At 63.7% G+C, this 9519-nt stretch overlaps 2 protein-coding genes across 6 annotated transcripts, besides 11 other annotated features; both read left to right on the forward strand.

Moving 5' to 3' along the window:
- TGFBR3L (transforming growth factor beta receptor 3 like) lies at nucleotides 149–4416 on the forward strand. Of its 4 annotated transcripts, NM_001419781.1 has the most exons (7): nucleotides 149–242; nucleotides 1726–1862; nucleotides 1941–2261; nucleotides 2792–2918; nucleotides 3020–3178; nucleotides 3376–3448; nucleotides 4236–4416. In NM_001419781.1, exons 1-6 carry the CDS (start codon nucleotides 176–178, stop codon nucleotides 3441–3443), a joined length of 879 nt encoding a protein of 292 aa, NP_001406710.1. In that variant the 5' UTR covers nucleotides 149–175; the 3' UTR covers nucleotides 3444–3448; nucleotides 4236–4416. The 4 variants fall into 4 exon arrangements, with proteins under 4 accessions (NP_001406710.1, NP_001182188.1, XP_011525915.1 ...); NM_001195259.2 differs by having other exon boundaries at nucleotides 149–1862; XM_011527613.3 differs by having other exon boundaries at nucleotides 149–2261; nucleotides 4148–4416.
- Nucleotides 1136–1636: an enhancer, noted in NCBI's record as "H3K4me1 hESC enhancer chr19:7980702-7981202 (GRCh37/hg19 assembly coordinates)". NCBI's record gives its function as "activates a minimal SCP1, AML or CMV promoter by ChIP-STARR-seq in primed H9 embryonic stem cells {active_cell/tissue: H9 hESC(primed)}" and the evidence as "EXISTENCE:reporter gene assay evidence [ECO:0000049][PMID:30033119]".
- Nucleotides 2051–2100: a silencer, noted in NCBI's record as "silent region_9996". NCBI's record gives its function as "represses an Ori minimal core promoter by ATAC-STARR-seq in GM12878 lymphoblastoid cells {active_cell/tissue: GM12878}" and the evidence as "EXISTENCE:reporter gene assay evidence [ECO:0000049][PMID:35858748]".
- Nucleotides 2257–3133: an enhancer, noted in NCBI's record as "H3K27ac-H3K4me1 hESC enhancer chr19:7981823-7982699 (GRCh37/hg19 assembly coordinates)". NCBI's record gives its function as "activates a minimal SCP1, AML or CMV promoter by ChIP-STARR-seq in primed H9 embryonic stem cells {active_cell/tissue: H9 hESC(primed)}" and the evidence as "EXISTENCE:reporter gene assay evidence [ECO:0000049][PMID:30033119]".
- Nucleotides 3005–3104: a silencer, noted in NCBI's record as "silent region_9997". NCBI's record gives its function as "represses an Ori minimal core promoter by ATAC-STARR-seq in GM12878 lymphoblastoid cells {active_cell/tissue: GM12878}" and the evidence as "EXISTENCE:reporter gene assay evidence [ECO:0000049][PMID:35858748]".
- Nucleotides 3134–4009: an enhancer, noted in NCBI's record as "H3K27ac-H3K4me1 hESC enhancer chr19:7982700-7983575 (GRCh37/hg19 assembly coordinates)". NCBI's record gives its function as "activates a minimal SCP1, AML or CMV promoter by ChIP-STARR-seq in primed H9 embryonic stem cells {active_cell/tissue: H9 hESC(primed)}" and the evidence as "EXISTENCE:reporter gene assay evidence [ECO:0000049][PMID:30033119]".
- Nucleotides 3165–3254: a silencer, noted in NCBI's record as "silent region_9998". NCBI's record gives its function as "represses an Ori minimal core promoter by ATAC-STARR-seq in GM12878 lymphoblastoid cells {active_cell/tissue: GM12878}" and the evidence as "EXISTENCE:reporter gene assay evidence [ECO:0000049][PMID:35858748]".
- Nucleotides 3375–3444: a silencer, noted in NCBI's record as "silent region_9999". NCBI's record gives its function as "represses an Ori minimal core promoter by ATAC-STARR-seq in GM12878 lymphoblastoid cells {active_cell/tissue: GM12878}" and the evidence as "EXISTENCE:reporter gene assay evidence [ECO:0000049][PMID:35858748]".
- Nucleotides 4685–5184: an enhancer, noted in NCBI's record as "H3K4me1 hESC enhancer chr19:7984251-7984750 (GRCh37/hg19 assembly coordinates)". NCBI's record gives its function as "activates a minimal SCP1, AML or CMV promoter by ChIP-STARR-seq in naive H9 embryonic stem cells {active_cell/tissue: H9 hESC(naive)}" and the evidence as "EXISTENCE:reporter gene assay evidence [ECO:0000049][PMID:30033119]".
- On the forward strand, nucleotides 5657–8569 carry SNAPC2 (small nuclear RNA activating complex polypeptide 2). 2 transcript variants are annotated; one of them, NM_003083.4, is made up of 5 exons: nucleotides 5657–5868; nucleotides 6742–6861; nucleotides 7024–7092; nucleotides 7354–7666; nucleotides 7764–8569. In NM_003083.4, exons 1-5 carry the CDS (start codon nucleotides 5686–5688, stop codon nucleotides 8081–8083), a joined length of 1005 nt encoding a protein of 334 aa, NP_003074.1. In that variant the 5' UTR covers nucleotides 5657–5685; the 3' UTR covers nucleotides 8084–8569. The 2 variants fall into 2 exon arrangements, 1 of the variants encoding a protein (NP_003074.1); NR_030717.2 differs by lacking the exon at nucleotides 5657–5868 and adding an exon at nucleotides 6334–6438.
- Nucleotides 5707–5936: a silencer, noted in NCBI's record as "silent region_10000". NCBI's record gives its function as "represses an Ori minimal core promoter by ATAC-STARR-seq in GM12878 lymphoblastoid cells {active_cell/tissue: GM12878}" and the evidence as "EXISTENCE:reporter gene assay evidence [ECO:0000049][PMID:35858748]".
- Nucleotides 6017–6216: a silencer, noted in NCBI's record as "silent region_10001". NCBI's record gives its function as "represses an Ori minimal core promoter by ATAC-STARR-seq in GM12878 lymphoblastoid cells {active_cell/tissue: GM12878}" and the evidence as "EXISTENCE:reporter gene assay evidence [ECO:0000049][PMID:35858748]".
- Nucleotides 6885–7487: an enhancer, noted in NCBI's record as "H3K4me1 hESC enhancer chr19:7986451-7987053 (GRCh37/hg19 assembly coordinates)". NCBI's record gives its function as "activates a minimal SCP1, AML or CMV promoter by ChIP-STARR-seq in naive H9 embryonic stem cells {active_cell/tissue: H9 hESC(naive)}" and the evidence as "EXISTENCE:reporter gene assay evidence [ECO:0000049][PMID:30033119]".
- Nucleotides 8570–9519: the final 950 nt, after the last annotated feature.

The following is a 9519-nucleotide window of genomic DNA, read 5'->3' on the forward strand; positions in this document are numbered from 1 at the left end:
CTTAATCCCCTCAGGCCTTGGGCATTGGCTCTGGTGTCAGCCCCTCAGTCTGCCACCCCCGCTCCCTGCCTCCCTCCTTGCCAAGGACAGGGCCGCCTGCCCACGTGCGGGACCTGGGTGCAGCCCAGCTGGTGTCTGCTCTGGCCCCAAACACTCCGACCTCAGCTGGTCCAGCATGCTGGGCACCGTGCTGCTGCTGGCCCTGCTCCCAGGGATCACCACCTTACCCAGCGGGCCACCTGGTATGTATGGGCAGGGAGGTGACGGGTCTGTCATGCTTCTATCCCTGTTTCACCCTCTTTATTTTTTTTGAGATGGAGTCTTGCTCTGCCACGCAGGCTGGAGTGCAGTGGCGCAATCTCCACTCACCGCAACCTCCGCCTCCCCGGTTCAAGTGATTCTCCTGCCTCAGCCTCCTGAGTAGCTGGGACTACAGGCACGCACCACCACGCCTGGCTAATTGTTGTATTTTTAGTAGAGACAGCGTTTCCCCATGTTGGCCAGGCTGGTCTCGAACTCCTGACCTCAGGCGATCCGCCCGCCTCGAACTTTTCAAAGTGCTGGGATTACAGGTGTGAGCCACCGCGCCCCACCGATGTCACTCTCTTTCAACTAGACCTTTGGTGGTGGTCCTCATGGGGGTGGGGACAGGGCAGGGGAGTGGGGTGGGGTCTCTGTCCCCCATCCCAAGGGTGGCTCACATCCCCACTTCGGCAAAGCTCCCTGCAGCCACGGAGAGGGCCAGAGTTGTGGGAGGGGGCCAGTCTACCCAGGTGCTCTTCAGAAGTGGGTGTGGTGTGCGGATGGACAAGGGGGCTCATGCCTGTAATCCCAGCACTTAAGAGAGGCTGAGGTGAGAGGATCGCTTGAAGCCAGGAGTTCCAGACCAGCCTGGGCAACATAGACCCCGTATGGCCGTGGTAGCGAGTGGCTGTGGTCATAGCTACTCGAGAGGCTGAAGCAGGAGGATGGCTGGAGCCCAGGAGGTGGAGGCTGCAGTGAGCTGTATTCGCACCACTGCACTCCAGCCTGGGCGACAGAGGGAGACCCTGTCTCAGAAAACAAGAAAAATGGATGTGCAGGCAATCTTTCGTATTTGGAGATTAGCCGTTTTACCAGGACCCCGCTCAGCACCTGAAGGCAGACATCAGCGTGTGTTTAGGGGCACGAAGAGGGGAGGGGTCCCATGGCTGCCTCAGCCTGGACAAGTGGAAGCGTCTCAGATCTTGGTGGCCTGGCTGGGCTTTGGCTGTGCCCAGGAGAGCCTCTTGGGAGGGTATCCTCTTCACTTCCCTTCCTCGTTGGTGACAGCACCTATCTCCCCTTAGAAAGGGGAGCCGCCTGTCCTGCTGCGTCCCCAAGAGCAGCCCTGGGGAAGGTGGGGGAGCTCTGACTTCACCCAGCCGGACCCCACCATCGGGTGCTCCTCACCGCTTCTCTTCCGCCCCAGGGAGGGCTTCGCCAGCTTCGGAGGCTTCTCTAGGGGCGCATGGCTCTGCAACCGGCTCAGTTGCTGGGCTGTGCGAGTCCCAGGGGTCGCCAGGGGGCACATCACCGTCAGGGGGGAAAGTGGCGCGGAGCCCATCATGGGTGAATCGGCCGCCGCAACCGCATCCCTTTTCCAAAGGCGGCGGCGGGGGCGAGGTGGTCGGGTCACTTTTCCCGGAGGCCTAAAGGGCAGCGCGCGTTTTCTCTCCTTTGGGCCGCCCTTCCCCGCCCCGCCAGCTCCCCCGTTCCCCGCGGCGCCCGGCCCCTGGCTGCGCAGACCCCTCTTCAGCCTGAAGCTGTCCGACACAGAGGACGTCTTTCCTCGCCGCGCGGGGCCGCTCGAGGTCCCGGCCGACAGCCGCGTGTTCGTGCAGGTGGGGACCCCGGGGACACCAGGGGCGGATGGGGGCCGGTGGGGACGGGCGATCCCTGATGGCGCCTCCGTCCCCCAGGCGGCCTTGGCCCGTCCCTCCCCGCGCTGGGGCCTGGCCCTGCACCGCTGCTCAGTGACGCCGTCCTCACGCCCGGCCCCGGGGCCCGCCCTGGCTCTGCTGCGTGAGGGCTGCCCCGCCGACACCTCTGTCGCCTTCCCGCCACCGCCGCCGCCGAGCCCGGGTGCCGCCCGCCCCGCGCGTTTCAGCTTCCGCCTGCGCCCGGTCTTCAACGCCTCGGTGCAGTTCCTGCACTGCCAGCTGAGCCGCTGCCGCCGCCTCCGGGGAGTCCGCCGGGCGCCTGCGCCTCTGACGCCGCCGCCGCCGCCGCCGCCATCGCGGGTGCGCGGGCGCAGAGCCTGGAATCCGGGCGCTGGGGCCCTTCGGGGGCTGGGCACGGGCGACTCTGGCAGTGGAAAGAGGATACTCTCGGGGTCTGAGGATCTGGGGGTTGGGGGAGGTGGGGCGCAAGGGTCCATCTCTGCCGACAGAGTTTCTCCGGGGACAGTGTGGACACTGGGTTCCCCCATGGACAGCTCTGGAATCCTTCAGGGCTGGGGGTTGGATGCAGAAGGCCACTAAGGGGACACATTTCTGGGAACCTGGTGCTGGGCCTCACATGCTAGGTGCTGGGAGACGCGGACCATGCGATCTTGTGGGGCTGGGATTTGGGGTCCTTAGGGGCTGGGCGGCTAGCCACTTGTATGCGTAGGGGCTGGGCTCAGGGCACCCTAAGGGGCCGGATTTCCAGGGGTCCCATCTTGGCTGTGGTGGAGAGCTGGACTCAGGTCTCTCTTGGGGGCCCTGGGGACCAGAGCCACGATCCCGGTGCCCTGATGTCCCCGTCTCTTCCCCACCTTCCTCTCCCCCAGTGTCTGCCTCAGGACGAGGCGTGCGCCGACACTGGCAGTGGCAGCGCCGAGGGCCTGGCTGCTGACGGCCCCCACCTGCACACGCTGACGCAGCCTATCGTGGTCACCGTGCCGCGGCCGCCCCCCAGTGAGCACGCAGTCCTCCTCCGCATGGGGCCGTGGGGCGGCAGAGCGGGTGGGAAGGACGCCTGGGAGCTGGACCCAGTCTCAGCGTGGCACTTCCCACAGGGCCGCCCAAGAGTGTCCCCGGCCGTGCAGTGCGCCCTGAGCCTCCCGCGCCGGCCCCCGCGGCCCTGGAACCCGCGCCGGTGGTGGCGCTGGTGTTGGCAGCCTTCGTGCTGGGCGCCGCGCTGGCCGCCGGGCTGGGTCTCGTCTGTGCGCACTCAGGTACCGACGACCTCCGCCAAGCCGGGCCCCCAGTCTAATCCCGCGCGTCGGGACCCGGGGCGGCCGCGATCCCGCCTGCGGGGCCTGATCAACCCTAGCTAGGCCTGCCTCCGCGATGCCCGCAGCAGCCCCCAGGGGCCGCCCTTAGCCTGGCGTGGCGCGCAGCAGCCCTTCTGCAGCTCGCCTCTCCCTTCCAGCGCCCCACGCCCCTGGCCCGCCCGCGAGAGCCTCGCCCAGCGGTCCCCAGCCCAGGAGGTCCCAGTGAGGAAGGTAGGTATGGAGGTGGAGGGAGCTGGGTGAGGTAGGAGATCTGACAGTGACGCTTCCTAGCGCTTAGTTCGTGCCAGGCACTGTGGTTTTTTTGTTTGTTTGTTTGTTTGTTTGTTTGTTTTTTGAGACGGAGTTTCGCTCTTGTTGCCCAGGCGGGAGTGCAATGGCGCGATCTCGGCTCACCGCAACCTCTGCCTCCCGGGTTCAAGCGATTCTCCTACCTCAGCCTCCTGAGTAGCTGGGATTACAGGCATGCGCCACCACACCCGGCTAATTTTGTATTTTTAGTAGAGACGGGGTTTCTCCATGTTGGTCAGGCTGGTCTCGCACACCCGACCTCAGGTGATCCTACCGCTTCGGTCTCCCAAAGTGCTGAGATTACAGGCGTGAGCCACTGCGCCCAGCCTCCAGGCACTGTTGTAAATGTTTTACGCCTATGAACTAACTTAATCCCCTTAACCTCTAGGCGGACACTATTATAATCCCCATTTTAGAGACGAGAATGATGAGGCATTCTCTGAATTAAGTAACTTGTCAAAAGTCACAATACTGGGTGGAGCTTGGATTCGAACTCAGGCAGTGGGTCACCCGCGGCAGGCGCGGGCTTTGGGTCGAGCCAGGGGCATTAGGTGAGGAGAGGCACTAGGCGAGGAGAACTCAGCATTCGGACCCGGCTCCCACTCTCACCCCGGCATGCAGACCGATGGAAGAGGCTAGTGGTCTGCTGGGAAGGGAGGTGGCCCGCGTAGCGTCCCCTCCCTCGCTGAGCCTCAGCCACCCCTCCCAGGGATGGTGCGCCCCCAACATGGTCCGGAGATACACCCAGCTACCAATTCGGGACCAGGACCAACAGGACCGGACCCGCCTCCCTGGACCTCGGACCTGATGAGGCCACGACCCCTGCGCTTCTCTCCTCCCCCTGTCCCTCCCACCTGTGCTCAAAATAAACCTCTGGACTGACCGGCTAAGTTCTGGTGCAGTCAGTGAGCGCGCAACGTGCGGGGTGGGGGATAGGTGGGGAGGCTTGGGGAGAAAGCTGGGAGCAGGACTTGGGGGGTATTCCTGAGAAATCGTGACTTACAGGGGTGGAGCCTGGGGACGGGGCCCATATGCCCATATACCCGTGTGCACTCCCAGGCCATGGGAGACTGTAGGGCGTTTTGTCTCAAACAGAAAGCGACACCCGGCCGGGCGCGGTGGCTCCCGCCTGTAATCCCAGCACATTGGGAGGCCGAGGTGGGTGGATCACTTGAGGTCAGGAGTTCCAGACCAGCGTGGCCGACATGGTGAAACCCCGTCCCTACTAAAAAAAGTAACAAAAAAAGAATTAGCAGGGCGTAGTGGCGCGTGCTTATAATCCCAGCTGCTGGGGAGGCTGAGGCAGGAGAATCGCTTGAACCCAGGAGGCAGAGGTTGCAGTGAGCCGAGATCGCGCCATTGCACTGCAGCCTGGGCAACAAGAGCAAAAATCTGTCTAAAAAAAAAAAAAAAGCGGCACCCAACCCCACAAGCGTAAGTTTAAAATAAACCTTCCCCCTCCCTCCTCTCCTTACCCGGACACCTGCCCATCTGCCTCCTGCGATCTTTCTCAAGCCAGGCCTTCTCCGCTCTCCATTACCCCCGCCCGGACCCTGCCCTAGCTCCGCTTCGACCTTCTGCCTCTGCTCCAGTTCCCTCCTGGTCTGGACTTCGCCCTCCTCTTAGATTGTCAGTCTAGTCTAGAGCTCCTTAAATCCCTCCTGCCCGAGCTCCACTCTACCTTACACAGACAAGAGTGGGACTATCAGCCCCAGTCTACAGAGGAGGAAACTGAGGCTCGGCAAGGCTAAATCACTTGCCCAAAGTCCCCAGGCCTGTCTGACCCCAGAGCCCAGGCTCTTGACCGACTGGATCTTCGGACTTGACCTTTCGGCCAGAACCCACCCCTCTGCGAGAAGCAAAGCACACAGTAGTAGCTTCATGAGTTAGTCCAGCAACAGAGGGAGGGCATGGGATCCAAGGTGTCGTCTCCACTTCATGAATGAGATAAAGTGCAGGCTGAGGGTCTCCTTCGCCCCGCCCCAGTTCCGGTGCCGATCTCCCCTTCACTTCCATTGGGGCGGTTCCCCGGGCCTCCAAACGCGAAGCCACGCCCCCACGCGCGTCCGCCTCCGCGCGGTTCTTTCTGACCTCGGCGGCCCCCGTAGCTCCGCCCATCGGAGAAGCGACCTTACAGCGCCTGCCTCTTTCTGAGCGGCATGAAGCCACCTCCCAGGCGGCGAGCGGCCCCGGCGCGCTATCTGGGCGAGGTGACCGGTCCCGCGACCTGGAGCGCTCGCGAGAAGCGGCAGCTAGTGCGACTCCTGCAGGCGCGGCAGGGCCAGCCGGAGCCGGACGCCACCGAGCTGGCCCGGGAGCTGCGGGGCCGGAGCGAGGCTGAGGTGAGATGCGGTTCTCGGGACCGGAGCCAGGCTGGAGGCGGGGCTGGGGTGGGGCGGAGAGTGGGCGGGGCTGCGGCAGGAGCCAGCGGGGCGGGGCCAGGAATGTAAGCGAGCGGGGGCGTGGCGTGGGGCTGAGTGGCGGGGCGTTAGTGGGTGAGCCTGGGCGGGGTGAGGGGCGGGGCGTGGACGGGAAGAGAAGACCTAGGGGCGGGGCGAGCTTGGGAGCTAGACGTGGGCGGGGCATAAGTGAAGCGGAGGGGCGGGGCGATGCCGGGGGCGGGGCGTGCGTGCCGCTGAGGTTTGGAGAGTGGGTGGGTGAGTTTGAGGGGCAGGACGAGCCTGGGGGCGGGGCGTGGGCGGGTTAATAGCAAGACTTAAGGGCGGGGCCGTTTTGGGAGTAAGGCGTGGGAGGGGCGTGGGCGGGATGAGGGCAAGCTTTAAAGGCGGGGCGAGCCTCGGGGTAATGCGTGGGTGAGGCGAGGGCTAAACGGGCGGAATGAACTGGGAGTAAGATGCTGCCGAGTCCGGGCGAAAAGCAACGCATGCTGTTGGACAGGATACGAGCTTGAAGTGAGAGGGAATAGAGAAGAGGGGACGAAGAAGGGAGTTGAACGGGGTAGTAGTCAGCATAGGGTTGGGCCCTGGCTGCGTGAAGGAGCCGGAACTGGCCTGGGCCTTACAACTTCCTTAGGTAGCTGGTCACGCTCTGGGTGGGGTAGGGGCCTTGGCAGTCACTGGGACTCCTAACACCGGGCCAGCAGGAGACTAAGGCGCAGTAGCGGGGCCCAGAGCATACAAGGGATTGGGCTTTGGCTTCTCTGCTGCAGCCCTGAGCTCATAGAAGCCTCATTCCGCCGCCTCTTTCCTTTCTAGATCCGGGTCTTCCTCCAGCAGCTCAAGGGCCGCGTAGCCCGGGAGGCCATTCAGAAAGTGCATCCGGGTGGCCTTCAGGGACCAAGGCGCCGGGAGGCACAGCCCCCAGCCCCCATAGAGGTGAGGCAGATGAACAGGGTGAGGCTGTCCAGGGCAGGTCCCTGGTGGGTAGGTGGGAGTTGCGGGGGATAACCTGATTAGGGGATCCCCAGGAGGAGCAGGGCTTGGGGGGCCATTGCAGGCTGATCCCTGGGCTGACCCTGTACCTCTGGCTTCACTCAGGTCTGGACGGATCTGGCTGAGAAGATAACAGGGCCACTGGAAGAAGCCCTGGCAGTGGCTTTCTCGCAGGTACCGCCATTCCCCCAGGCAGGTCAGGGTGTCCCAGAGGACAGGGTCACATGGGCCAAATCATGTGAACCTGGGTCCTGGGCCCTTTTGCCAGCTCTGTGGACTCCGTCAGTCACTGGACACCTCGAGCCTCAGTGTCCCTGGCTCTGAGGCCATCTCTTGTCTGAGGAGCATCTTAGGGTGGCAGGGAGGATGGGGGAATGTGTAGACGGTGAGAAGACTTCCCAGCTCCTCTTCCTCCCTGATTGTTCTGCCTGCCAGGTGCTCACCATCGCGGCCACGGAACCGGTCACCCTCCTGCACTCCAAGCCCCCCAAGCCCACGCAGGCCCGTGGAAAGCCTTTGCTCCTGAGCGCCCCTGGAGGACAGGAAGACCCCGCCCCTGAAATACCTAGCTCTGCCCCTGCTGCACCTAGCTCCGCACCCAGGACTCCTGACCCTGCCCCTGAGAAACCTTCTGAGTCGTCGGCTGGTCCCTCCACTGAAGAAGACTTTGCTGTGGACTTTGAGAAGATCTACAAGTACTTGTCCTCTGTCTCCCGAAGTGGCCGCAGCCCCGAGCTCTCAGCAGCTGGTGAGAAGGGTGAGGGAGGGGGCAGGAGCAGAGGGATCAAGGGTCCCTGGCAGCAGGCAGGGGTGTCCCCTTACCCCTCTCCTCCATCCATCACTAGAGTCCGCTGTGGTCCTCGACCTGCTCATGTCACTTCCAGAGGAGCTGCCACTCCTGCCCTGCACAGCCCTGGTTGAGCATATGACGGAGACGTACCTACGCCTGACAGCCCCCCAGCCCATTCCCGCTGGAGGGAGCCTGGGGCCTGCAGCAGAAGGGGATGGGGCTGGCTCCAAGGCACCAGAGGAGACCCCCCCAGCCACCGAGAAGGCCGAGCACAGCGAACTGAAATCGCCTTGGCAAGCAGCTGGGATCTGTCCCCTGAACCCGTTCCTGGTGCCCCTGGAGCTTCTGGGTCGGGCAGCCACCCCTGCCAGGTGAGGGGCATGGCGGGCAGGAGGCCACACCAGGCCCCCCGCCCTGCCCCTCGGTTCTGCTCGGCTGGCCCTGGCTCTTTCTGAGGATCCCGTCATGGGGGAAGGTCCTTGAGATGATGCTCAGCTGTGGGGCGGGCCTCTAAGATGCCCCATACTTTGGGGGTCTCAGAAATGGAACCCCCGTTGTACAGGGGTTGGGTGGGGGTTGCAGGACTCCACTCACAAGCCTCCTGATGTCAAGGACAGGCGGACAGGGCTGGCCTCCCCCAGTCCCCAAGCCCCACTGTGCCTTGTTGTCTGCTGGGGGGCCATAGCTGGCACTGCCCACCGTAAAGGCCCTCGCACATTTTCCCCCTTCCTGTACACCTCGGGGCCAGCATCCTCACCTTCTTCAACTGACCAGTCGTGGTTACTCCCTGCTGCCAGGTCCTTCCCCTTCCCGGGGGTATTCTGTGACCATGAATAAAGTTATCATTCTCTTTCTCTTTCACCTGTGACTTAAAGATGGAAGTGGGGGCCCTGAAGTGTCAGAGCTTGGGGGTCACAGGGCTGGGGGTGTGTGCCAGGGAGGAGAGCTGCCACCTGACTGGTGTGATGAGGCCTGGGGTGAGGAGCCCCTTGGTGACTGTGAAGCTGACAAGTGTGGATGGGGAGAGCCGGCAGGGCACCTTGGGGACAGGCGTCAGGGATGGGTTTCAGAGTAGGGCAAAATCACATCGCACAGGTGGAGGGGAGAAGGCAGCAGAGAGTGGGGGTGACCCGGTGGAAGGAGTTGAGCCCCAGGCTGGGCGGTTAGAGGAAGATAGATAGGGGTGGGCTGCCCCGAGTGGCAGGAGGCTAGTGGGAGTGGAGTGTCCCCTGGGGTGGCTTTGGGACCTCAAGGATCCCTAGAAGGCGGGGAGGGAGGGGTACTGGAGTCAGGGCTGACCCCAAACCCCTGGGGGTGCTGGGACCCCGCTTGAGGCCCCCTCCATCAGCTTCACCTGCCCTGTGGGTGTGGACCGAGGGTCGGGTCCTAGAGAGGGAAGCAGATGTCCTCCCACGGCACCGCGTCCCACGCCCAGCTAGTAATCCAAGTCGGTAAATTCTCCGTTCTCGGAGCCTGTGCATTCACCCAGCCTGCCTTTTATAGAAACGCTCATTCCTCCCCCCACACACTGCACACGGCTCCCCTGGGGTGCACATCTCTTGGGAGGGCCTTGGAGCACAGCCAGCCCACTCCGTCCGTGGTCACCGCCCCACCGCACCAGACCCACAAACGCTGCCAATGGTGGTGGGCAGGGGGAGGAGGCTTAGGCTGCAGGTACGGTCGGTCGTCGGAGCCTCCCTCCAGGGCTGGCAGAGGGTGCGCCTCCCAGTTCCCCACAGGGCTGAGTCTCTCTCACCACCCCCGGCGCCTCCCCAGATCAACAGAATTGTGTGTGGAGGGGAGGCAGCTGG

The sequence above is a fragment of the Homo sapiens genome, chromosome 19 (assembly GCF_000001405.40).
Source record: "Homo sapiens chromosome 19, GRCh38.p14 Primary Assembly".
Taxonomy (NCBI): domain Eukaryota; kingdom Metazoa; phylum Chordata; class Mammalia; order Primates; family Hominidae; genus Homo; species Homo sapiens.